This window comes from Homo sapiens, chromosome 18 (genome assembly GCF_000001405.40).
Source record: "Homo sapiens chromosome 18, GRCh38.p14 Primary Assembly".
In the NCBI taxonomy this organism is placed as follows: domain Eukaryota; kingdom Metazoa; phylum Chordata; class Mammalia; order Primates; family Hominidae; genus Homo; species Homo sapiens.
In genome coordinates this window covers 46,242,455-46,269,195 of record NC_000018.10, presented here as the reverse complement: position 1 = coordinate 46,269,195, position 26,741 = coordinate 46,242,455, and the positions used below count along the sequence as shown (strand labels likewise).

General features: G+C 39.8%; 1 protein-coding gene across 4 annotated transcripts in view, besides 7 other annotated features; it reads right to left on the bottom strand.

The window, feature by feature from the left end:
- Positions 1 to 2,203: 2,203 nt before the first annotated feature.
- Positions 2,204 to 26,741, bottom strand: part of ARK2N (arkadia (RNF111) N-terminal like PKA signaling regulator 2N) — a 93,440-nt gene continuing 68,902 nt past the window's right edge. For all 4 annotated transcript variants that reach the window (XM_011525822.3, XM_017025555.2, NM_145055.5 and 1 more), the window contains 2 exons: positions 15,373 to 15,499; positions 2,204 to 6,267 (listed from right to left, as the gene is read on the bottom strand). In XM_011525822.3, coding sequence (XP_011524124.1) covers positions 6,078 to 6,267; positions 15,373 to 15,499 — 317 coding nt within the window. In that variant the 3' untranslated portion in view covers positions 2,204 to 6,077. The remainder of the gene's footprint in view (positions 6,268 to 15,372; positions 15,500 to 26,741) is intronic.
- Positions 7,131 to 7,632: an enhancer, noted in NCBI's record as "OCT4-NANOG-H3K27ac hESC enhancer chr18:43841527-43842028 (GRCh37/hg19 assembly coordinates)". NCBI's record gives its function as "activates a minimal SCP1, AML or CMV promoter by ChIP-STARR-seq in primed H9 embryonic stem cells {active_cell/tissue: H9 hESC(primed)}" and the evidence as "EXISTENCE:reporter gene assay evidence [ECO:0000049][PMID:30033119]".
- Positions 9,008 to 9,571: an enhancer, noted in NCBI's record as "H3K27ac-H3K4me1 hESC enhancer chr18:43839588-43840151 (GRCh37/hg19 assembly coordinates)". NCBI's record gives its function as "activates a minimal SCP1, AML or CMV promoter by ChIP-STARR-seq in primed H9 embryonic stem cells {active_cell/tissue: H9 hESC(primed)}" and the evidence as "EXISTENCE:reporter gene assay evidence [ECO:0000049][PMID:30033119]".
- Positions 9,572 to 10,136: an enhancer, noted in NCBI's record as "H3K27ac-H3K4me1 hESC enhancer chr18:43839023-43839587 (GRCh37/hg19 assembly coordinates)". NCBI's record gives its function as "activates a minimal SCP1, AML or CMV promoter by ChIP-STARR-seq in primed H9 embryonic stem cells {active_cell/tissue: H9 hESC(primed)}" and the evidence as "EXISTENCE:reporter gene assay evidence [ECO:0000049][PMID:30033119]".
- Positions 18,393 to 19,028: an enhancer, noted in NCBI's record as "H3K27ac hESC enhancer chr18:43830134-43830769 (GRCh37/hg19 assembly coordinates)". NCBI's record gives its function as "activates a minimal SCP1, AML or CMV promoter by ChIP-STARR-seq in naive H9 embryonic stem cells {active_cell/tissue: H9 hESC(naive)}" and the evidence as "EXISTENCE:reporter gene assay evidence [ECO:0000049][PMID:30033119]".
- Positions 18,448 to 18,507: an enhancer, noted in NCBI's record as "active region_13278". NCBI's record gives its function as "activates an Ori minimal core promoter by ATAC-STARR-seq in GM12878 lymphoblastoid cells {active_cell/tissue: GM12878}" and the evidence as "EXISTENCE:reporter gene assay evidence [ECO:0000049][PMID:35858748]".
- Positions 18,558 to 18,637: an enhancer, noted in NCBI's record as "active region_13277". NCBI's record gives its function as "activates an Ori minimal core promoter by ATAC-STARR-seq in GM12878 lymphoblastoid cells {active_cell/tissue: GM12878}" and the evidence as "EXISTENCE:reporter gene assay evidence [ECO:0000049][PMID:35858748]".
- Positions 19,029 to 19,665: an enhancer, noted in NCBI's record as "H3K27ac-H3K4me1 hESC enhancer chr18:43829497-43830133 (GRCh37/hg19 assembly coordinates)". NCBI's record gives its function as "activates a minimal SCP1, AML or CMV promoter by ChIP-STARR-seq in naive H9 embryonic stem cells {active_cell/tissue: H9 hESC(naive)}" and the evidence as "EXISTENCE:reporter gene assay evidence [ECO:0000049][PMID:30033119]".

The window sequence follows — 26,741 nt, the reverse complement described above, 5'->3', positions numbered from 1 at the left end:
AAAAGTGAGGGCTCAACAGTCCACTACACTTTACCTTTCCACTCTCGGGATGGAGCAATCATGAAAGGGGAACAGATGTGACTCTGAGATGTCAATTACCAAAGCACAAAAGAAAAAGCTGGTATCTTCTAAAAGCTTCAGCAAGGCCAATGGGGAAAAAAAAATTTTAATAAAAAAGAAAAAGTTGGCACCAAATAGCTTCCTTCACTAAAGGGTAAGAAGCTAGACAGATATAATTTACAACCAAGGTGTGTTCCCAACAGCAGGCCAGGGTCTATGAGCAGATTATACCAGCTGCTGCTGCCACACTTCCTTTCTGAGGGCTGACTTCGCTGCCAGCACTCACTCTCATCATTCACACTACCCTATCAAATGGGTCCTCAAGGCTTGGCAGGGAATCCTCATCACACAGAGAGATCCCTGCCTAAAGCCATCACCACCTAGAAGGCATGTCACGTGTACAATGAATTAAACCAACAGAGAGTATCAGGTGAATGGGTGCTCCTTCCAAATTTCTGACACTCATGATCATTACTTGCATCTTTTTCTGAACTCACTGCTCCTACCACTACTTACTGTTGCTTTCTTCTGCTCCAGGCAGATTCTCCCAGCCAAAGTTCCACTATAGGCCAGAACCTCTCTAATTCTATGAATCAGTGCTTTCAATCATGGAATCATGAAAAAAAAAAAAAAATCGTGCCTACCAATGACCTAGGAGGATCGCTCTTTCATAGAGCACTTGGTTCCAAGTGTGGTTAAAACAAAACCTAGAAGAAATTCACTTTACTTAGGTTGCAAAAATGGAGCTGAAAAGATACATATATATTTGGTAAAGATTCTTTATCTGTAATTAGACTATAATTATAAATAGTTGGTATCTACTCTGAAAAACAAAACAGTAAGGGAAGGAAAGGCCAAATGCCTGCAAAAGAACAGAAAGAAGCAGCCCAAATGACATAAAGCACTAGCTACAGGTTATATTACTTACTTGTGCCTAGTTTCTTCTTCAAAAGCAGTATCCAAGGGCAAAAGGGTTCAAACGTGAGATCCTAGGTAAACAGTTTCCTTCTAGAGTCAAAGAAGAGTTTTCCTTTTTTTATTTTTATTTTTTGTTTTTTGAGACAGAGTCTTGCTCTTGTTGCCCAGGCTAGAGTGCACTGGCGCGATCCTGGCTCACTGCAACCTCTGCCTCCTGGGTTTAAGCGATTCTCCTGCTTCAGCCTCCTGAGTAGCTGGGATTACAGGCACACGCCACCACACCCAGCTAATTTTTGTATTTTTAGTAGAGGCGGGGTTTCGCCATGTTGGCCAGGCTGGTGTCGAACTCCTGACCTCAGATGATCCGCCCACCTCGGCCTCCCAAAGTGCTGGGATTACAGGCGTATGAGCCGCTGCACCCAGCCAAAGATTTCTTATAGGTATTAATATGTCTACGTCTCAGATACAGGGTGGTATAAAAGAACAATTTCAAAAATCTGAAGATATTTCCTACTAGTTAATATTGTGTTTCCTAATTGTTAACAGATCATTTTCCAGTACAAGCAGAACCAAAAATTCTTGAGGAAAACTAAGAGATTCAGGAGTTGAATGTTTTAATAAAAAGAGGTTTCACTCTCCCTGGTTCCTCATTCCCCTTTATGTGAAGATAAGTTACAAACATCATGAGGTGTTAATATGGTAGTTCCTATCATTTTAATAACCAAATTAAAAATCTGAAAATAGAACCAAACTATGGAAAAAATTATTCAGTCTATTTTTCAAACACCCTATACCTGCTTCAATGTTTAACCACATGCAAAGTGCATGCCGTTGCAGCATCTTACCTTGACTCTCTGATCTCTGCAAAGTAATAACCAGCAGTGAAGTTTTGTTGCCAGGAGTAAAGGTGCCCAGAACAATAAGTCTTTGGCCCTCTTTGAAATCTCAGGTGGGGTTACAGGAAAGCTAATGCAAAGCTATTTTTATCAACATCCAACAATTATCCAAGGTTACTTGCAAAACTTCTTGGGAGTAGTTTTGCAAGTAACCTTGCAAGGATACAGCTCTTGCTTTGAAAACTCAGACATCTTATAAAGATAAGACTTGTTAACAAAATAGAATCCACTTTCACATTTAAAAGGTAACTTGGAAATTGCTCCAGGTACCACCTAATTAACTGAAGCAGATAGGGACAAAGAAAAAAAAAAAAAAACCTCAGAAGATATCATTGTTTAAATACACTCTATTTTATTTTGTCTTAAAATAGTTTAACCTTTATGCTACAGACTTATTTCAAAAAACAGAAAATCTTATCTTGCACCAAAAAATATATATATAACACTCTGTTTTATTATTTTTTCTCCAAAGACCATTAAATACTAAAGGGAAACAAAAACGAAATAATGAATGTAAAGAACCAAATTTTGTTTTAAAAACTAGAGTTGCACATTTGAAAACATTAATTCTAAGCAATGATTTGTCATCACTGCATCAAGTCCACGCTCACACTCCAGCAACAGCAGATCCATTAACTGCCAAGTGCATTGGTTCCTAGCCATACAATGGCTAACATTTCATTTTCACGGTAAGAGGAGCAAAAGGCTTCAATGGCCTCTGTACTCTTTAAGAAACAAAACAACAACAAAAATATTTCCTAGTTATCCAGTGATTTTTTTTTAAGATCACTACCTTTTAAAATTTGTTAAGAGAATAAGAAGTAAGTAGTGTTTTAAATAAAATGAAAAAATACAACAGCATCAGACTAAAATACGTGATTATTTTAAACAAACAGTGCACAATCTGAGGAAGTTTGGTTAGGGCACAATCATTTTTATATCTACATGGAAGTCACATCATACACATATTGGAGAACAGGGATTGGGGAGCTTGCTTTGCCTTAAAAAAGTTTAAAACTAAAAGACAAAATAGTGTCCCCAGCTTTTTCAAAAACCTTTGTGACAGTATAAAAAGCAGGTAACAAACTTAGTTTTAAGTTAGTTATGGTGCTAATCTGCTAAAAGTAAAGATGAACAAATGACTACATTAGTAAACCAGACAATTCATATTCATAATTGATAATAAAAGCAAAGTTTATGGGATGTTTGATTGCCAAGAATAAACTGAATGAAATAAATTGAATAAAAAAGAATGCATTATTCATTCAGTCTGGCCCCTACCATCAAAATGAAAAGACAATTACTGGAGAGCAGCAATTACAGGTTACATGGCAGTCATGATGATGCAACAGCTAGGTCACTGCTCTGTTTTTCACAAATTGGAGGGGGTGGAAACTTAACCAAGTCAGTGGCATAAACCAATCTGTGACCCACATGTACCATTTTAGCAGAGAGATTACTCTGAAGACAATGTCCTGTGAAGCATAAAGAACTACTTATGCTACCAAATGTAAAACTTTGATTAAGAAAAACCCCTTTAAAAGAAACTTCAAATGTCACAGGAGCTGTATACCACGGAATTGTATCATTAATACCTTGCCTGAAACCACACTCTCCACTCTTCTGGAAACAGCAATGAAAAGAGAGTTGAAACACAGTCTCTCTATAGTTATTAGGGGAAATGACCCAACCTAGTAGGGGAGAGCTGTCTATCTCTACCATCCCTTCCCCTCCCCCTCTGCATCTTAATATCCAAATCTCCGTTCTGGTCCATTAAGTCAGGCAGTTGGGAGCTGGACTAGGAATAAGTGAGGCAAAAGTGCAAGCTGACATAAAGGCAAAGGGCCAGAGAAGAGACTGGTTACAGCTCCACTCTGTTCCTAATCCACAGTGCACACAGCACGCCAACTCTGTAGAGGATGACTATATTAGGGACTATGAAGAAAATATGTCACACGGGAAATCACCTGCTGTGTGGAATTGGGAAAAAAAATATGTGGTTAACATAAGAACAGGTCATGCAAAAACATTCATTAAAATGGGCCTCTGCCCTGACAGTGGGGGAAAAAATAAGCTGCAAAAACTTCAAGTCACATCATCCACTCTATTCTCTTCTCTATGAATTTCCTGGAAAACACAGACCAGAAATTGTACATTTCTGCTTTGTCTAGTATTTTAATTCAAGTCAAAAACTATGTGTAACAGTAAAATTCAATAAATTAATCCTAAAGTAAAATGTGAAGGTCCAAGGATACACCAGTAGTGAATCTTCAGAAGGTCCTACTTTGCTCTGGCCTCTGGGTCTTTGGTTTTTGTCTAGAATTGTGGCCATGTGAGAGACTGATATATGAGTTGCTAAAGCTGGAGGTTCATGATCTTAAAAGCCTTATCTAACAAAAGCAGAAAATAAAAATAAAAAAAATAAAAGCTGATGAAGGACAGAGGCCAGATCAAATGAGATGCTATCAGAGAAGATCAAAGAACATATGCACAAATACATTCCTGTGGAAGAAGGAACATACAGGAGAACTAATGCAACAAGAAGCGTAAAGGAATAAACTTGTCTTTACAAAAAAAAAAAAAAAAGAAGAAGATGAAGAAGAAGAAGAAGAACAGGCTGGGCAGGTGGAGGCAGGCAGACACTGATGCATGTGTATGTGCGGTGTGTGTCATTCATCTCAGCAGCCCCCAGAGCACCCACCCCTCACAGTGCCTTATGCAGAGCAGGCACTTGGTAAATTTGTTTGCTGAATGAAAACTGAAAATGGTAATTCTCATACTCTTAATGATAAGAAGAGCCACCAGGGGATTTGGAGAGACAGGCAAAGGGCCATAGCAACGGTAACAATGGAAACAAAAACAAAAACAAAACAAACAAAAACCATGAAAAACAAAAGGTGAAGTCTTCTAAGCCAATATTACTTCACTCCCCCTGTGCAGAGTACATAGTGTTCTAACTCTAGGTATTGCTTTTAAAAGAATTCACTAGTAACTACAACATATTATAAGAAAGAAGGTAGTAACTAATGCCACAAAATTCCAATGCTGGCATTTCCTGAATTCCCTGAAGCTCCTGCTACCCTTTGCTAATCCTTTTAGACTCTGTAAAACTTACCAATGACATTAACGTGCTTTGCATCTGATTTCTTATGGTACATTCTGATTCTTCTTATGGTATTTTTTTTTAGAAGGTAGAGGAGAAAAATACCCAAATACAGCATCAGGTCCACTTCATCTCGGATGTTAAACAGTTGTTGCTACATACTCTTTATACAGAGACCAGCTATGAAAGACGGCACTTTCCTCTCGGATTTGCAAGTGCCTGTAGCCTCAGAGGCCACATAACTTTTCATATTCTTCCCAACAGGTTTCTATGTTCACCCGTTATTTGACTAAACCAGAAAAAAAGGCGAGGGAGAGAGATTTTTCCCACTGAACTCTTAATACCTTCAGATGCCCAGAACACCTCATGGTGGGTATCTATCTGAAATGCCTCTGTCTCAAAGGAGACATTTTGCAAAGAGTTATTAATTATTGCAACAAGGAGAACAACTAGGTCACCTTAGTAGTATTTATAAACACAAAGGGACATGTCAATTATCTGTGCTGTGGGAAGTCAACAGGAGCAAACTCAAGAAAGAAGGCAGAAGACTTAAAATAAAAGAAAATATAATTTTAATACTTCTGTCTTCTATTTTTAAGGACAAGTTTTTAAATGCACATGCCCTACTAGGTGCCAATAAGGACCTGACTGATATGTGTGCGAATGCCCTAAGATGGGAGTGCCAATGGGGTGGGCAGATAGTGGTCAAGTCTAGATATTAATTTCATTATACAGAAAAATAAATACAAGATTCAAAAACTGAAACCCATTTTGCCTGGCAATTAAAATATTATTCTAAAAGGAAGGCAGAGTTTCCTAAGATTAAAAGTCACCAAGTAAAATAAAGTTGTCTAATAAAATTCATCATTCTATATTCCTACTGAGGGAAAGAAGAAATTCTTTTCTCTGTGATGTTATTTTCCTAAGTGACTTCTTTTAATTAAAAAAAGGGGGGAAGAGGAGGGAATTTTCCATGAGTTTGAATCCTACAAATGCCACAAACAGCTTCTGAAGCTGAAGCTATGACAATGAACTTCCATGTCACAAAGAGGATGAGGAAGTGGAAGGGAACAGTGCAGAGGAAACACAGTGACATTGTATTACAGTAGGTATTTACGCCTGCTATCCTCATCCAAGGTAAGGTCAACAACTTCTGCTGGTGAAGCCCAAGTCTGCTGGGGAGTCACAGCAGTCCATGACTGTGTTTGCCTGGTGCTAACATACTGCGTGCCCGAGCCATGCTTCCATGAAGAAACACTCTGAATCACACCACCTCGAGGATGAACACACCTGCAATTGAGATGAAGAACAAAAGCATGGTTAATTCCACCACAGGAAAAACAGAAGACAATATGACCTCAGTTGTACTTATCAACATTTTTACTAAGATAAACCTAGTATGCAAGTTCATAAAACCCACAATCAATATCCTTCCCTCCATCTCTGTCTCCCTCTCTCCCTACCCCACCACACCCCACTTGGTCCCTCTCTCAGTTTAGCCTTAAAAAGGCCAAGGGTCTTATCTCAGCCAGAAACTCCTGAGTTGTGTCACTGACCATGGGTGACAGGATGTTTCTCTGGACTCATTTACACCTCTGGGATCTTCATGATAGGGCAACACATAAATCCAGAACAAAGTTAAGATGCCCAAACAATCTTAGTCTGAACAAATCAAACAGTAAGAAAAATAGTTAAAACTTGTTCTTAAAATAAGCTTTATAATTGGTAATAATGCCTTCAAAGACAGTGACAGTAATACCCTTTCACAGATTAAATTTCTAAAAGTCTGTAAGTAATAGATCATGAATAAAGGATCAATTTCCCTTGTCCTGAAGGTCACAACAGAAGCACTTGGTTCATTCAACAGAATCGCTTATAATTTGGTTCCGTGAAAGTAACACAGCTGAATCTTCAGTTTAGATCCACTAAAAGGGTTCTATCGGAGGGAGAGAACTGCCTTGTTAGCAAGTCACACCAAGAGTTCACTGAAATAAAATTGTTTCAGAAACACTGACAGTTTGAATTCCACAGTCCAGTCAAATGATAGAATTGTGAACCTCCAGGCCAAAACACTAAGTTCTGACTCAAATGAGAGGAAGGCAGGCAACTCATGTGATCAATGCTATGTCCTCTCATCTAAACTTCCTGACCAGCCCTCAGGTAGCTTATGTGAGAAGTAACAAGTGGCATGAGTCTAGTCACTAAACTACCACAGTGGCTCCTGAGCAGCTGTTTGACAATCTGTAAGCAACAAATAATGCTGGGCCACTTGAGAATTTCAGCTTTGGTTTAATGCTACCTACACCACCAGATTCAAAAGAACATTAGGGTAACAATGGACACGATTCAGTTGCAAAACTGCCCCAAGGACCCTTAAACTCCTGCAAACATGCCCTACTCCTACAAAGGCTTAATCTGATAACTTCTCCCTTACTAAGAAAAATTCCTAAGAACAGATCTCTCAGGGCCAGAGCAGAGGGCAGAACGCAAATTTGCTACAGTACCAGAAGCCCGTCATCTGTCCAGAGATGGGCTATGTAGTTACTAACCCAGAGGCTACTACCTTTTCAAAGATTAGCTAGAGAAATAAATAGGGACATTAAAATAAGGGACATAAAGCCCAATGTCTAATTCACATCTGTTCAACCCATTATATAAATTCATATTAAGTGACCATGTAGTCATGGAAAAATGTCAGCCAAAGGAGTCCATTCAACATTTATAGAAATGGTTTTGATGACTGAAGGCCAACGGAACACTACCTTTACTAAGCAGTTTCACATATATTATCTCATTGGACAATTCTGACAGACCTATGAGGTAAGCATGGAATTTACTATCCTCACTCTACAGAGAGGGAAACTGAGGCTTAAACAGGTTACATGATTTGCTCAGAGTCACAATGCTTGAAAGTGATAGGCCAAGGAAGACAGGTCTGATTTTGGGTCCAATGCTTTCCATATCATGTTGTTGCTTTACAGATGTGTGTATTAAATCGGGTGCAGCAAAACACAACAAGAATCATCAGAGTACAAAAATAGACCCAAACTAACAATTTAGAAGTATAAAGTTACTTGACAATTCAAAAGCTCACCTGTATAAGCACTAATTGAAGTAAAGCTGGCTAGAAACCTGGTAAGAATTCAGGCAACGAGTGGCAAAGAGAGTCAATGTAATCTTTGGCAGAATTTCTAAAAATATCTCCGAAGTAAAAGAAGTATATAGTCCCAATTGTTTATCTGTATTGCTCACTAAGTAATCATACAATGTAACGTCAAGCAGTGGCTTTTTAAAAAATCTGATCTAATCTGTTTATTATACAGAAGAAAAAACCTAGGCCAAAAGACAACCATCCAGGCTCTTAAACAAGTTAAGCATAGAACTGGAGTAAAATCAGGTCTCCACTCGAGGGTTTATTTTCCACTGAATAACAATGCCTTCTTCAGGCTATACCTGAAGTTACTACATCATGTTTGACTGAAAGAAGCACTGCCTGGTTCCCAGGGCCATTCAATAAGCGGCAAAGAAGAGTTTAGAAAGTGTCTGGCATAGGAAAAGAACTAGGAGAGTGAGAGGTTTAGAGACCTTATTTCCTACTGAGGAATGGCTGAAGGAGAGAGAATAGGAGACAGGGCACTTCAACTATCTAAAAATAGATCACTTCTGAAGTTATGTTACAAATGGTTCCAGTTACCAAAAACCAGCTTAGGCTACTTTAAACAATGAAGAGAATTTATTAGTAGGACACTGGGCACCTCAAAGAGCCTAAGATGATGGAACAACCCCTAACCCTCTCTATTTCTCCTACTTCAAAATTTTAGATTATCTGGAGAATGTGATGATACTATCTTCGGTCAAAAGCTTTCCTAACTCTAATTATTAATAGTTGTACATGGAATTCCCAAAGGGAGAATCACTGTGAGGTGGAAGCCACCATGAAAGGTACTATTTCATGCTCGAGGCAAACCACTGAGAGCATGCTTAGAACCATGAATCAGTTTCTAGAAGGCAAGTTTCAGATAATCATTGCTATAGAACAAAGCCACTAAGAAATGGAATGAATTGCCTTTTAAGTACTCAAGTAATTGCTGAGGCATCTGTCAGGAATGTTAAGGAAAATTTTAAGATGCCCTCCAAGCTCAACAGTGACTTTAAGATTTGTTCAAAAACAGGCAAAACTATCAATAAAAGTCAGAATAGGCTGGCACAGTGGATCATGACTGTAATCCCAGCACTCTGGGAGGGTGAGACGGGAGGATCACTTGAGCTCACAAGTTCGACACCAGCCTGGGCACCATGGTGAAACCCCATCTCTGTCGCACACACACACACAGACGGGAGGATCACTTGAGCTCACAAGTTCGACACCAGCCTGGGCACCATGGTGAAACCCCATCTCTGTCAAACACACACACACACACACACACACACACACACACACACACAGTAGCTGGGTGGGGTAGTGGGCACCCATAGTCCCAGCTACTCGGAAGGCTGAGGTGGGAGGATGGCTTGAGCCTTGGCGGTCGAGGCTGCAGTGAACAGAGATCATGCTACTGCACTCCAGCCTGGGTGGCTGAGCCTCGGTCTCAAAAAATAAAAACAAAAAAATAAGTCAAGATAGTAGTTACGGGGAAAAGAAAAGGGGGAGGTTGTAATTAGAAAGTAGTGCAGAGTGGCTGGGCGCGGTGGCTCACGCCTGTAATCCCAGCACCTTGGGAGGCCGAGGTAGGCGGATCATGGGGTCAGGAGATCAAGACCAGCCTGGGTAACACGGTGAAACCCCGTCTCTACTAAAAATACAAAAATGAGCCAGGCACGGTGGCATGCGCCTGTAGTCCCAGCTACTCAGGAGGCTAAGGCAGGAGAATCGCTTGAACCCAGGAGGCGGAGGTTGCAGTGAGCCGAGATCGTGCCACTGCACTCCAGCCTGGGTGACAGAATGAGACTCTGTCTCAAAAAAAAAAAAAAAAAAGAAAGAAAGAAAGCTCAGAGTGACTTCTGTGTTCTGATCTGAGTGCTTGTTACTTGGGTATAAGCAGTTTGCAAAAAAGGTACGTTATTAGTTATCTGTATGTGTTATTAGCCAATAAAATATTCACAAAAATTATTTACTTTAATGATCTCAAACACACTGAATAAAATGGGAGTTAGGAGATGGATGAGGACAGAACAAGGCTTTTAACACATTTTTTTTTAACTACAGAGGGAAAAAACAGTCAATCTAGTAAACAGAAGGGTGCTAGAGAAATATTTCAACTATTTTATAAGAGAATATACATTACACAAAAATTTATACCAGATAGGGAAAAAAATTCAGGAGAAAGAGGGAGCACAATGGTTGTTAAGCCTCTGGAGTGGTCCTATAATGGATGCAAGAGGCTCGAAATTTTGTGACGCAACATAAAAAAAAATAGTTTCATGTATTATCACATATGCTTTTTCTGTATCATGAAAGACATGAGGTAGGAACATACTCAGCTGGTTTTTAATTGGTCCAATCAATTGTATTACTAATCTGTATTAGTGCAGATACAGGCTTTGTTCTCACAAAGTGTTTAACCTGCATGCAATTGGTGACAGGTATGAAACACAACCTAGAGCCATACTTTGCATTTTATAACCAAGAAAATGCTTGGGTCTTGCTTCCCAAAATGTTAGGAAAAAATAATTATAAATAATATGGTTTGATAGAATAATTTCCTGTTCTTCATACACTAATATCAATAGAAAGGCTGCACAGTGGAAATGAAGTGTGTGCGCGCACACACAGCAGGCTCTGACGGTCAACTTTTGATATAGTTAGCTTACCATTCTAAGAAAACAACATTAAAATTAATCAATTTTACTCTCATTTACAGACAGCCTGAAGGTGACCTCTTAGATAACATTTCTACTTCTTTTTCCTAACTGAAGAGGAAATGAATCCTTGTGATTGTAGGGAAACACTCATCTGTATCACTAGTTTTTTTTGGAGTTAATATTAGCAACAGGCCTGGGCATGGTGGCTCACGCCTGTAATCCCAGCACTTTGGGAGGCCGAGGCGGGCAGATCGTCTGAGCTCAGGAGTTCGCGACCAGCCGGGGCAACATGGTGAAACCCCATCTCTACTAAAATACAAAAATTAGCCAGGCATGGCGGCGTGCACCTATAGTCCCAGCTACTTGGGAGGCTGAGGCAGGAGAATTGCTTGAACCCAGGAGGCAGAGGTTGCAGTGAGCCGAAATCGTGTCACTGCACTCCAGCCTGGAGGACAGGGCGAGACTCCATCTCAAAAAAAAAAAAAAATTAGCAACTGGTCCTATGAAGCAATGAGTCTCAAATACAGCTTCCTACACCAATTACTTTGCTGAGGAATAACCCAACATTAACGCCAATGATCACAGGATTAACAGACTAGAATGAGGTCCTCAGAACAGGTACCAAAAGGAACTGTTCCAACACGGTTCCATAACATACAGATCTGTGCTATATGTATTCCTCTTCCTAGAGCAATTACCAATGAGGTCGGTAGAAGGAAAAAATAACAGGACCAACGACAAAAAAAAAAATTATTGGCCTGAGGTTTGTAAATTAAAAGTTTTGGCAAAATTAAGTGGGCAGAGAAGAACTAGAGATGCTGGGAAAGTCTCCATCTCACTAGCAAAGAGCATCTGTGAAACTGGACTGTCCAAAAATTAACATCTGGAAATAACATTTAGGTAACCAGGAGTTCAACACAGCAATACAAGGCAATCATAAAATATGCGTTCAACCATTAGCTCAGAAAGCATGCTTTCTAGTCTAGGACTAGAGGATACACAAAAGAGAAATGAATACATCAAAATCTAAAATAAAAGAATAGGAGAAGATATTAGCATGCAAGAAAAGAAAAATAACTATCAAAAAAGGAGGGGGAGAGGCATATCACAACTAGAATTACTGAGTGCAAAGGCCAAACAAAATGCTTCCAATATGGAAAAATGGCACCCCACACAAGTCAGGGCAGCCACAATTCCAGAGAACAACTCAAGGACCAAATCTGAGTTCTTAAAAACTCTTAAAAACCCAACAACAAGGTAGAATATGAAAAGAAAAAATAAGAACAGGACAACTAAATCCAAACAAAACATCTACTCTATACATGCAAATCAAATGAGAACAAAAAGATGTGGATCAAAACCTAAAACCTTTTTCCAAGTGATAACCCTGCCAGAAGCACATCAATACTTCATAACTGCAACCCTAGACCCGTAAAAGAAATAAATTCCAGATGAGATACAGGCAGCCAAGGGGCAACTCTGAAGCAACCAACAAGAAAGCCTCTTCTCCTACTTGCTTCTCAGCTTTTTAATCCCAATGTTTGAAAGATTAGCAGGCTACTGATACAGAAGCTGCTGAGGGAAAAAAACATCAGAAAGACTCAGTCCTAGACCCAAGATCAATATAAAAGACACCCTCACAAAATAATAAAGGAGTCAGTGAAAAATACCCCAAAGAATCTGTAAACTCTACATTCCATTATACGGACAATTTTAACCACCACTGAGGTTTTAAAATGGATGTCACCTACAAGATACGATTTCCCAGGATTCAAACCAATAAGTAAGAATAAAACACAGCTTTATGCTTCAGAGCCTGTAAGAAAAAATCCTTGAAAATAATGTAACGTTATTTAAAATGTAGACAAAGTCACTTTGTTCAAGTGTAGAATAGGGATTGTGTGTGTTAGGGGTGGGGAGAACTGAGAATTTAAATTTCCAGGTTTTCATAGAAATATAATGATAACTGTAACTCCAGATACAAAAATATTTTTTTTTAAAAAAAGAAGATAAACATTTAATGATGAAGAAACATTGAACAAAGAAGCTAAAAATAAGTGTGGTTCATGCTGTAACATTTCTAGGCATAAGGAAACAATAAAAAGGGAGACGAGTTAGAAATTAACAGAGAACTTGACCAAGTGATATGTCTTAGCACAGAGTAAGAGACTAGATAAACAATACAGGTTACTACCTATTCCTTCCCTATTTAAGTAGGAACACATAAGTACAATGAATTAAAATTTGAAATGTAACTCAAAAGGAAGTTGGTGAATGAATAATATGTCCCTGGCACATTTGAAGATAATTCACCCACACTGACCTGTCAATGGGCAGGGTATCATAGTAGGAACCCTAAAATTTAAAAATACAATAGTCTAGAAAGATCCTGACATGGGGCTTAAAAGGATAATTTATATCATAAGCAACAATGGTGAAATAAACCAAAGACAAAAATTTGCTGATGTAAAGGAAGAAATCAGTAGTTCTAGCTTTCTCATCTGGTAGGTAAGTCAGCCTAAACAGAAAAATGGAAAAAAGGAAGAGAATTTAATAGGAAAAAATTTGTAATTAAGGCAGAAAACAGAGAGTAAAGGAAAGACTGAAAAATAAAAATTATTTCCCACCGGAATAGGGAGAATAATCATTAAAAAAAAAGAAAAAGAGGCCAAGCGCGGTGGCTCATGCCTGTGATCCCAGCACTTTGGGAGGCCGAGGTGGGTGGATCACCTGAGGTCAGGAGTTCAAGACCAGCCTGACCAACATGGAGAAACACCATCTCAACTAAAAATACAAAATTAGCGGAGCGTGGTGGCGCATGCCTGTAATCCCAGCTACTCAGGGGCCTGAGACAGGAGAATTGCTTGAACCTGGGAGGTGGAGGTTGCAGTGAGCCAAGATCGTGCCATTGCACTCCAGCCTGGGCAACAAGAGTGAAACTCCCCCTCAAAAAAAAAAAAAAAAAAAAAAAGAAAAGAAAAGAAAAGCAAAGAAAAGAAAAGAAAAGAAAAAGAAAAAGAAAAACTGAAGCAGCCGTACAGGCATACTTACAGAATAAATACAGAAGGTATAAATACAGAATAGAGGATGAAGTGCTAGGACAAGACTAGTTCTGAAAAAGCCAGAATTGGCCACTTTTGGGGAGACGGCATGTTAAACTACAAATTAACTCTACATCCTTAAAGTTCCAATTATTTGACTGAAAAATGCTCTCAAAGTATACTTAGATCTCTCTAGAAAAAGATACCCTTAACGTACATGTATCTGTATTTCATCTCCACTCTATACTTTTAAGTTTGTCTTTTATATAAGAGACAGAAGAAATGCTGGCAAATGTGTTTTATTACCTGGGTAACCAGAGTAAAATCAGATCAAAGAGCCAAGTAATGAATACACTATGTTATATACCTATTTACCAGAAAATCACAACTTCACTCTTGTGGCATGGGAGAAAAGTTGTTTGCTTTATACAAAATACACAAGTTCTAAAGTCTAAATTTTGGGGGGTGGGTGGGTGTGTGCATGTGCGGCAGGGGAGGTGGGGAAAGGATGTTCCAGAATGTTTCAGAAGAATATCGCTGAAAGGGTTGGAACCAATTATTATGAACATACCTTAAAGCAGGAGTCAGCAAATGTTTTCTGCAAAGGTATTGACTTTTCAGACAGTACATATCTTAGGCTTTGGGGAGGACATATAATCTTTGTTGAAACGATTCAACTTTGCCAGTGGAGTGCACAAACAGACATCGATGATTATATATAAAATGAACAAGCATGGTTGTTAAAATAAAACTTTATTTATAGACTAAAATTTTAATTCCTGTAATTTTCACATGTCACAAAGTATCAGTCTTCATTTGATTTTTTTTTCCCACCAGCCACCTAAAAAGGTAAAAATCATTCTTAGCTCACAGCCCAGACTAAAACAGGCAGCAGGCCAGAATTGGCCTATGGGCCACAGTTTGCTGACCCCTACCTTAACGAATGCCAAACTTCATAAATTATGTTTATAATGCTACACACCAACTTGATGTCTTGTGGGGTTTCTTTTAATCCTAAGAAAAAAGACTCCCTTAGTTATATGAGCATTACTGGAAATACACTCTGTAAAAACAGACCAAAATAACTTGCAAGTTTGCTTCTAATGAAAGACAAGGAGAGTTGCTCTAGGAAACCAGTCAAAAAGGCATGATGTCAGATGCATGTTTCCCAACTGTTTGCTCCTAGTATATTTCCAGGTAAAGTGAAAGGCAAGAAAGTATAAACGTGAGAGAAAAAAGTACAGTGATACTTCTGCCTTAAATGAAAAGTCTGTCAAGCTAACTAAACATTTGCTTAAAAGAAAAAAACATCAGCTCTAGTTCACAGACATGTATGGTTGAAATGTCCTTGATATGAGACAATATATAACACACTCTAAGGCTCATATCATGTCTAAACAAAAAGTGTTTCTTAAACAAAACAAAACCAAGAACTCCCATCATTCATTCATGCCAGCTATGCCATAAAGTCTACCATTTTCTTTTAACTTGTTTTCTGGTTAAAATAGAATTTATAACTTAAAATATCAGACTACTCCAATTAGTATCCTACCTTGCATGTTCCTGAACTCCCACAATCTCTACTTCACTATCTGAAGACGCAATGTTAATTTCTTCATTGAGTGGCGCATTGCCAGCAGATGTTTTGTCACTTGCTAGGAATCCTGGATCCAAATGACCTGAGAGAGAAGGGGAGGAAAAAAAACAAGCACTATAATTTTATTCCTCACAAACAGTGGAAACAACTCATTGACAGATTTGTCATCTAGGTTTAGTCACAGAAACAGAATCACCCTGTGAGAGCTTGCCACAGCAAAACTGTCAAATAAGCTGGGGCAGTGTTCTTTGTTCAAAAAATATACAGAATATATGCTCATGATGTATATTCAAACAACATGGCAGTACATAAAAGTATGAACTCAAAGTCTCTCACTCGCTACTCCTTAGGATAAAAAAATTTAAATGCTTTGGTAAATACCTATATCTGTCTACCTAAACCATAACAAACTCTATATATTTTATGCTGTAATGCTTTTTGCATTCAACTCCAGTCAGCTTTTAAACGACCTGCGTAACCACCTAGAAGGCAGTGGGGCTCTCTACTGCTTATCATTTTAATAGAACCAAACTCTAAACCAGAAAAGCCCAAAGGCACATATAGAATAATAGAAGTAATCACTAATACCATATTTATACTGAGATGCTTTGTGAAAGATTTAGCACATGTCCTCTCTAAAGAAACATAGATTTGACAAAATCTGACCCAAAACTACATCTAAAAAGGAAGGCTGGAGGTAAATCACAATTTTGGCTCTGAGCAACTGAAATGTAACTTGTACATTGCTGAGAGTTCTCCTTAGAAACAAACCACACACTCTGGAAAAACATAACAGTTTGTGGCACTGGGGGATGTAAGGACTTCTTTACAAGAGTCTTCCCAAAGCACGTATTATATGATGCAATAAAATACATTCTCCAACATCACAGAAAACATGAGCTTCACAGAACTCTCAATAATGGCTAATGGCATGGCATCAAAGTACATGGCTCTAAAAACAATTCTAGCAAGAGCTAAAATAATTCGGCCTATGTACCAGCTCTTGAATGTTCTGATTTAAAAGGCTGAATTTTAGAATACCTAGGAGTTAACATAGAATAAACAGAGTTGCAATGAGTACAAATTCTCATTTACCCTCTAAAGGGTATTTTTATTTAAATATATTGTGATCTGATACAAAATTATTTCCCATATTTAAAAAAAAAATCTACACAACACCTAATCTAAACTAAACCAATGTAAATAAAATAAAATTTTGGCTCATGCCTGTAATCCCAGCACTTTGGGAGGCCAAGGTGGGCGGATCACAAGGTCAAGAGATCAAGACCATCCTGGCCAACATGGTTGAAACCCCATCTCTACTAAAAATACAAAAATTAGCTGGGCATGGTGGCATGCCTGTAGTCCCAGCTACTCAGGAGGCTAAGGATAGAGAATTGCTTGAACCCAGGAAGCAGAGGTTTCAGTGAGTCGAGATCGCGCCACTGCACTCCAGGAGCCAGGCGACAGAGGGAGATTCTGTCTCAAAAAAAAAAGAAAAGAAAATTTTACATGCAACTCTCTTCTCCCTTTACTCAACCCAATGCTTCAAGGTTATTGAGAAATCTTGTACCTTTTTTTTTTTTGAGATGGAGTCTCGCTCTGTTACCCAGGCTAGAGTGCAATGGCACAATCTCGGCTCACTGCAGCCTCCGCCTCCCAGGTTCAAGCAATTCTCCTGCCTCAACCTCCCGAGTAGCTGGGATTACAGGCGCACGCCACCACACCTGGCTAATTTTTGTAGTTTTAGTAGAGATGGGGTTTCGTCACGTTGGCCAGGCTGGTCTCAAACTCCTGGCCTCAGGTGATCAGCCCACCTTGGCCTCCCCAAAGTGCTGGGATTACAGGCTTAAGCCACCGCACCTGGCCAAATCCTGTACTTTCATACTCCTGTCACCCTTGAGTGTAAACCTTTTGGAAGCTACAGACAGTCTCAAACCAAGGCTTACAATTTTTATACCTTCTGACCCTGTAAACCCATCCCTAATAATTTACTCCTTAGCCTTTAAATAAGCAAAATGTTATATCCAAAGATATTCATTACAGTGCTATGTAGCAACTTGGAAAAATGTATACTAACATATAAAGTATTACACATAACACTATAAAAATATGTAGATTCTGAGTAAAGCTGTGAAAAATAATCAAGTTTGAATATGATTGTGGGTCTTTTTCATAATTCTTTAGTACTATTTTTACCTTTTATTCTTCGACTGAAAATGATGCATATATGTGAAAAATTTTTAATGCTTAGAATGGCTCCTAGATAAACCAGTGATTGAGATTATATATCACAGTTTGCGTGGGTTTGTAATCCAGATTATGTGGCACTAGCAGTGGGCACATATCTGGACCCTATAAGCATACAAAAGGTGGCATTCACCAGATAAAACTCTGTTTTATTAAATCTAGGGAGGCTGCTTAAATGGAATTGGTTAAGTCTTGCTTTCGTAAACCTAGATTCTTGCTCTGATCCCCAATACCTTGCTTGTGGCCAAGTCTTCATCCAAGTTCTACTTCAATGTTTTAGTTATTCCTATCCTCATGCACACTGTTCCAACTGTACTGCTAAGGAAGAATACAAAATCACAGACTCTCTTCTTTATAGCCTTCAACTTTTCCATATTCAATAATTCAAACAGTCTTTACTGTTTACTTTATTTGTTTGTACCTACAATAAATACTTGCGACATGCTATGCACTGTGCTAAGTGCTAGAAATACTATGGGGAACAAGGCAGGCATAGTCTCTACCCTCAATGAACCTGCGATATATGCAGAGATAATAAAAAGCAGTCTATTGCACCATGGCTTGAAAACTGCTCTGATAGGGAACATTCACCAGACTTGAGGGTAATCAGGGAAGCTGGGTTCTCAAGGAAGAGTAGGCACAGATGAGGGGAAGTGGCATACAGAACATTCTGTTGTCCTTTAAGGTATAAAAGTTTGGTGAGATTTGGGGGTAACAGTCAAAAGAGTAATAAGAAACAAGGCTACCAAAGTCAGCAGGTCAGATCATGGTAAGCTGTCTGGACTTAGCTTTGAGAAGTAGGAAGCCACTGAACCATTTAAGCAGAGGGTAAGCAGAGGGGTGACGTCATCTGGTTTTGCATTTTAAAGAATTTCCTTTCAGAGTATAGAAATGAAACTGATAGCAAGCAGGACAGGAAATACTGGAGGCAACAAAACCAGTTAGACTGCTGCAGCTTCCTGGGTGAGAAATGACTGTGGCTGAACTAGGAAAAAAAAACAATGGAAAATACTGTGTGTGTGTGTGTGTGTGTGTGTACGAATGGAGGGTTAGTAATGTTGGGAATTAGGCAAATGAAAGAACATAGAAAGTCAAAAATGATGCTTAGGTTTCTGACTTAGGTAAATGGATAGAGTTACAGTGCCATTCAGTGCACTAATAAAAGCTGAGGGTGGTTGCTCAGGGCATGATGATTATGTGCCTTTAATATGTCCAATAAGCAGTTCACATAACTTTTCACATAAATAATGAGTGTTCATGATAGCAGGACTTGCAAGCAGAGACAGACTAAGACAGGTGCCAGGAATGTTTCATAAATGAGTGAAACTATCACGGAGTAAGCAGATGACAGTCAATGGTACAATCGGTACTGTTCTAAAGCTCAGGTCAGAGGTCTAAAGAGGAAATACAGACTTGTTAAATCCTCAGCAATAGATGAGAGAATAAAGATCATCCTGAAGAGTAAAAGTGGTCTAGAAAACACAACCCAAGTATTGATGAACATAAATAATTAAGAGATGGGGTGGGGCGAGGGGGGCGGGGAATTAGACGTGGTGGTGTGCAACTACAGACTCAGCAACTCGGGAAACTGAGACAGGAGGATTGCTTGAGCCCAGGGAGTCAAGGCTGCAGTGTGCCATGATTGCACCACTGCACTCCAGCCTGGGAGAAAGCCAATATAGCAAAGCAATCTGAAGAATAATGAAAGGGAAGGAAGAGCAAACACAGTTTAAGAAGTTTGGCTATGGAGGAAAAGGAGATAGGATGGTACTGAGTAAGGAATATGGGCTTGAGGGAAGGGTGTTTGTATGTATGTGTATATACATAGTTTTTAACAATGAGAGAGACCTGTTCATATTCCAAAAGGGCAGAGAATAGGTTTGACAGCAGAAAGCTGAGGTAATCTGGATTTTGAAGAATGTGGCAAGGCCATCTGCAGAGAGTAGGTGTGGGCAGGTGCAGAAAAGCGAAGTAGCCACTACGGAGAAAGAATGCAAGGCCGGGCGTGGTGGCTCAAGCCTGTAATCCCAGCACTTTGGGAGGCCGAGGCGGGTGGATCACGAGGTCAGGAGATCGAGACCATTCTGACTAACACAGTGAAACCGCGTCTCTACTAAAAATACAAAAAAAAATTAGCCGGGCGTGGTGGCGGGCGCCTGTAGTCCCAGCTGCTCAGGAGGCTGAGGCAGGAGAATGGCGTGAACCTGGGAGGCAGAGCTTGCAGTGAGCTGAGATGGCGCCGCTGCACTCCAGCCTGGGTGACAGAGCAAGACTCCGTCTCAAAAAAAGTAAAAAAAAAGAATGCTGCCTAAGGAAAAGGGGGAGTTTCTGGGAAGCGCTGAGAGCCTGGATGAAGCCGCAGACTAGGAAATTAAGGCAACCTTTAACTCTGTGACAAAGTGATTTTCTCCAGCTATGCTTAGCATGGGGGATACAGGCTCAAAGTGTGCATCCAGGGATCAGACTCTGCCAGGTAAGTACAACAGGAAAGTCAACTCTATAAGTGACATTGGCAAAGGACAGCTGGGCCTATATAGGCTTGATAGGGAAGGACAGGAAGCTGGGAGAGGACTGATAAAGGGATGGGGGATTGGTCCAATGAAGTAGAAAAGTAGTGTGGTGGAAGTAGCTGCGTAAGAGTATAGAGGCCAGGCGCAGTGGCTCACGCCTGTAATCCCACCACTTTGGGAGGCCAAGGCAGGCAGATCATGAGGTCAAGAGATGGAGACCATCCTAGCCAACAGAGTGAAACCCCATCTCTACTAAAAATACAAAAATTAGCTGGGTGTGGTGGCACATGCCTGTAGTCCCTGCTACTCCGGATGCTGAGGCAGGAGAATCGCTTGAACCCAGGAGGCGGAGGTTTCAGTAGTGAGCCAAGATCGTGCCACTGCACTCCAGCCTGGTGACAGAGCAAGACTCCGTCTCAAAAAAACAAACAAACAAACAAACAAAAATAAAGAGTATAGAAAAGCCTACGTGGAAAAGGAAAAAGCAGTAAGGAGGGGTAGAAGGAAAACCAGTGGTCATGAGAAGTAAAACACTATACTTTCACCCTCTTAGCTACCTACAAAATATAAGCACCTGGGATCATCCATTTTTTGCCATCTTATCCCCAACTCTGTTGTCTTCCTTTGCTCCAGCCACCCACTGCTCACCCTCCTACAACTTTACCTTCTGGAATGCCAACTCCATGGTAAAATACACTGAACTTTCTCTCCACCTCCTTGTGGAAACCTGACTGACGTTCCTGAAGACGTTGTCTCCCCTGCAGTCTTCTGAAGAGGAAGCTGCTCTTAACCCCCAATGCTGGGATGCAGATCACTTATAAATTACTCATCTCCATCCTCATGTACCAACACCAGCAGGCAGTGCCTTCCAGGAGGTTACCGTTTCACTGCCATCTACTGACTCCATGACTGTTACTCATTCATGAAACAGTCCTGGCACCTATGTTAGTCTCTCTCTACTTACAAGTCCTGCTATCATGAATACTCATTATTTATGTGAAAAACCACCTCAAAACTGTGCCTACTCACTAAGAAGCAAGAAGCTGGATTGGGCTCCATGGCTCACACCTGTAATCCCAGCACTTAGGGAGGCCGAGGCAGGCAGATCACTTGAGGTCGGGTGTTTGAGACCAAGCCTGGCCAACATGGCAAAACCCGGTCTCTACTAAAAATACAAAAATTAGGCAGGTATGGTGGTACGCCCCTGTAGTCCCAGCTACTCAGAAGGCTGAGACAGAAGAAGTGCTTGAATCCAGGAGGCCGAGATTGCAGTGAGGTGAATTATACCACTGCACTCCAGCCAGGATGACAGAGCAAGATGCCATCTCAATCAATCAATAAGCAACCAAGCAAGGAGCTGAGCTCCAAGAGGTACTAAAAGCCACTTGTGGCAGACTCACAGTAAGGGGTTCAGCCTGTTGGGATCCTAAAAATAAATAAATGAAATTAATTAAACCAAATTAAAAAGGCAGAGTGTAGACAGGCAGGATCACTATAACCAAACTCTTCCTCCTTGATCACTCAATGCTTTTAAACAATGGTAATTAAGAAAATACAACAAGAATATGATGGAATTAGTTAATTCTTAGTATCTCTTTGCTCGGTTCCTATAACCATCGTTCTAATTTATAATTCTACCCTCTCTAGCAGGAATGTTTTGTGAAATATCTGTCATCAATATTTCTGAATAACCAGTCTTCACTGACTAGGACCCTGCCATCCTCACCTTACTACCTCCAATAGCCTTATTCCAGAGCTAGAAATGTCATCACTTTATTTTTTATGAAACGAAAAGTTACTATGCTACTTTTGTTAATTTTATACTGTCTTTTAAAAAAAAAACAAGGTACCATCACCAATATTTCAGATTCTTCTAACTTTATTCATTCATTATGGATCTAGAAACTAGTAATATTCCTTCCACATTGTTAGATAATCCAAACAATTCTGGTAGTGCAATTTTTGCCATAAAAATTGCAATCCAAACCTGCTGGTATTTAACATGGTTACAAAACCCAGATGATATGCTAAAACTGGTCACTTTAAATTGGGGTCTGCTATTTTTTTTTTTTTTTTTGAAATGGAGTTTTGCTCTTGTTGCTCAGGCTGGAGTGCAAAGATGTGATCTCAGCTCACTGCAACCTCCACCTCCCGGGTTCAAGCGATTCTCCCACCTCAGCCTCCTGAGTAGGTGGGATTACAGGCATGCACCACCACGCCAGGCTAATTTTGTATTTTAGTAGAGACGGGGTTTGGCCATGTTGGTAAGGCTGGTCTCGAACTCCTGACCTCAGGTAATCTACCCGCCTCGGCCTCCCAAAGTGCTGGGATTACAGGTGTGAGCCTCCGCGCCTAGCCTAGGGTCTGCTCTTATCTGTAATGCTTGGTCAATATACTAGTGCAAGATAAGAGGCATGAGAAAGTGATGGGGGTGCTAAATACAGACTGCCTCGTGAATGTTAACAACTCCTAGACTAATAGTGTGAGACATTTGCCAAATTTCCTGTCAGAGCCTTAGATAAATTGTGCCACACAGAAAACAAATCAGCTAGGACCCACACCAAGGCAATGAGATGCCGTGCTCTACAAGAGACACCAAAGGCATTCTGGGATGCCTCTGCCTCTTCCTTCTTCTATTTCAGAGCCAGGACCATTAGTCCTTTTCTGTCACTGTAACCCTCTTCAGCATCCCACACATTCCTTTGGGAGCTCCAGTATAGAACCTGACATTCTCTGGCCTTTGGGCCTTTTCTGCTCTGCCCCTCCCCACCCCGCCTCACCCCCCATGGAGGACTTCACAGGATTCCAATGGCAGAACAGTGCCTAAAGCATACAGAAAAGTGAGCCAAAGATGCTATGAGGTTCTTCAAATACTGTCAGTGGTAGTAATCTTTTCCAGTTCTAAGACAAGAACAAGCCCTGTAGAGAAAAATGTAAATACCGCAATTACCATATATTAAACTGAAAATAAAGCAGAGCACTTATATTTAGCTATTGTGACAGCTGGCTGTCTCTGTGTAGGTCTCTGCCTGTGTAGGTCTTTGGAAAGATAACTTCTTTCACTATATGAGAAAATTCTAAATTTTGTCCTCCCACTACAGACCTTTTCAACAAGAAAGGGTAAGAAAAAGTTACCAAGAAAAGGTAGTTATCAAAATAGGGTAAGAAAAAGAAGCACAGAAAAAGTAGTAACTAAATTATCATGGAAAACAGTTTCTTTCTGTCTTTAAAGGAAATAATCCAGCTACTTTTTAAACTGTAAATCCACTGGGTAAGAACTAGGCCTGAGCTTTGCAACACACTGAAGAGAAAGTAATACTACATACTGTATGACAGTCGCATGCTAGGCATAAAAAAAATAAAAAAATAAGTCACTACTCATTTAGCTTTAAAAACAGCAAATTACTACTTTTAGTTCTTTTTTTCTTTCTTTTTTTTTTTTTTTATTGAGACAGAGTCTCACTCTGTCACCCAGGCTGGAGAGAGGTGGTGCAATCTCGGCTCACTGCAACCTCCACCTGCCGGGATCAAGCAATTCTCCTGCCTCAGCCTCCCAAGTAGCTGCGACTACAGGAGCCCACGCCACCGTGCCCAGCTAATTTTTGTATTTTTTTTAGTATAGATGGGGTTTCACCATATTGGACAGGCTGGTCTCGAACTCCTGACCTCGTGATCTGCCCACCTCGGACTCCCAAAATGCCAGGATTATAGGCGTGAGCCACAGCACCCAGCCTACTTTTAGTTCCTTAAACAGCACGTTAAACAACCTTAAAAAGTGAAGGAAGAGGGCTGGACATGGTAGCTCACGCCTGAAATTCCAGCACTTTGAGATGCAGAAGTGGGCAGATTACTTGAGATCAGGAGGGCAAGACCAGCCTGGCCATCATGGTGAAACCCCATCTCTACTAAAAATATAAAAAAATTAACGGGGCGTGGTGACGGGTACCTGTAATCCCAGCTACTGGATAGGCTGAGGCAGGAGAATCACTTGAACGAGGAGGCAGATGCTGCAATGAGCGGAGACTGCCACCGCATCCAGCCTGAGCGACAGAGCTGGAATCCATCTCCAACAACAACAACAAAAAAGAGTGAAGGAAGAGCTCAAAAATCTAAAATCTGGCTGGGTGTGGTGGCTCATGCCTGTAATCTTAGCACTTCGGGAGGCCAAGACAGGCGGATCACTGGAGGTCAGGAATTCGAGACCAGTCTGGCCAACATGGTAAACCCTGTCTCTACTAAAAATACAAAAATTAGCCAGGCGCAGTGGCACACACCTGTAATCCCAGCTACTTGTGAGGCTGAGGCACGAAAATTACTTGAACCCGGGAGGCAGAGGTTGCAGTGAGCCCAGAATGTGCCATTGTACTCCAGCCTGGGTGACTGGAGACTCCCTCTTAAAAAAAAAAAAAAAAAAAAATCTAAACTCTTACCATCAATTTGATGCAGATAAACATGAAGAACATGACCATACTTCATCTCCTTCACTATACTGATTCTGAAACATGGCCATTCTGGTCTAATTATTAAAAACCCTACACTAGGAACAGGAAACCCAGGATTCATTTCTCTGTACTGCCACCATGTTAGGGACAAATCAAGATTACCATCCCTATTGTAAGGATGGGGAAAATGCTCAGAACCTACCTTCTTGACAAGAAGGCTGATGGAAAAGATAAGGTATTTAAAGTTTTAACTTCCCAGGGAAAAAAATCCTAAATAAGTTCAGTTTACCACAGCTATAAGCCTTCCTCACCAAGACTTCTGCTTCTTCTTGCCCCAACTACATTTGTTTGCAGTGAGCCCTTACTAGCAACAAAAATGAAGCCATTTTCAGATATATTAATACAGTTTCCTAAACATGCTGGATACAAGAGTTACCTGAGGCTATTATTAAAAAGAGATTCCCAGAAACCATTTCAGATTTATTGACAGAATCATCAGGAGAAACCTAGGAGTGTGAATATTTATAAACACACTGGGTAATTTCTACGCTCTGGCAAAATTTAAGAAGTACTTGTAGCAAGAGCAACTCGTTGCAGTGCAAGAGAGTAATTAGAAATCCAGTGACTGAGCCACTAATCACTTCCTTACTCAGTCTACTTCAGCATATTAACATAATGCTGGTTAGCATTTCTGAGGGCCTACTATGTGCTGTCCTCCGTAGTAAACACACTGTATTTCACTTAGTGGTAACAATAACCTTTTGGAGTAGATACTATAAAGGTTGTGCCCCAGTTTTGTAGATAGGGAAAACTGAGGCTTTATATAATTTACCTGAGGACATGCAGTTTCTAAGTGGCCACTGGTTCAAAATCACCCACTACAGTGTTCAATTCCAGCATCAACTTAAAAAAAGCAAACACATGGCAAGAATTGAAATGGAAAATTCAGGTCTTTTGTTGATCAGTAGCTTCTCTAATTTCGACTTACTTTTTAATCCCTGCATGTGGTTCAAGTCTTTTGCCTAGGTTAAAACTAAAACTAAATATATATTTTGGATGCAAGATAATCATCTAATTGCTTGGAAAAAGGCAACCTACTCTATCTTTAGTGCGTACCTATGTGATCCTAAATGGGATGGGGCTGTGGACCTGGGTTGAGATGCTGCTGTTGATTAAAGTGAACCCCTGAATAGTCTGCTCAATAACTAGGCTTGCTATTTTGTTGTGAAAGGGAAAGACAGGACCCAGATTAACCATTAAAATTTTAACTTACACTCACACCATAAGAATGACCATCTGACTAATAGTCCAAGCCTCAAAACTATTAACTGGCTCCTAAGCATAAATTCTATTAATATTTTATTGAGACACTGTAAGCACATTCAGATATCTTCACAAGATGAGTTCCACTATGATAATCACATCAAGACTACAGTATTATTTTTATTTATTACCCACATACCAGTATTGTCAGATTTAAGAAAAAAAAATGCCTTTGAAAGAGCCAATAAGCTTCATAACAAAATGTCATGGGGATCTGCTGAGCAGTGGTGACTGCATCCTATGATATACAGAAACCTACACAAAATTTATAGTCCAATATGCACAAATGCTCTCTCTATATATTAATTATATCCTAGAGAAATTATCATATACATATACCAAAAAACACATAAAGAAATGTTAAGAGCAGTATCACTTAAAATAGCACCCTAAATGTCCAACAAGAGAATGGGTAAATTGTGATATATTCATATAGTGGAATACTAAATAGCAGTGGAAAATGAATGAACTAGAGCCACACATAACAACAACAAAACTCATAAAATGTTTAACTAAAAAAGCACATTTCAAATGATTACCTTCAATGTGATACCAATTAGTTTTAAAAACATGCTTATTTAGATATATAACAAATGTAGTACAAATATATAAAGAAATACACAGGAATACCACACATTAAATATCCAATTTAGGATAGCTTTGGCATGGGAAGGGCAAAGGGAAGGAAAACATCTGAAGCCACAGTTGTTTTCCTCCTCACATACTTTTACCACGTTTTATTTCTTAAAAAGAATGGTTGTAGTTTCTTAAGAGTGATTTTTAAATAGGCTAACAATTA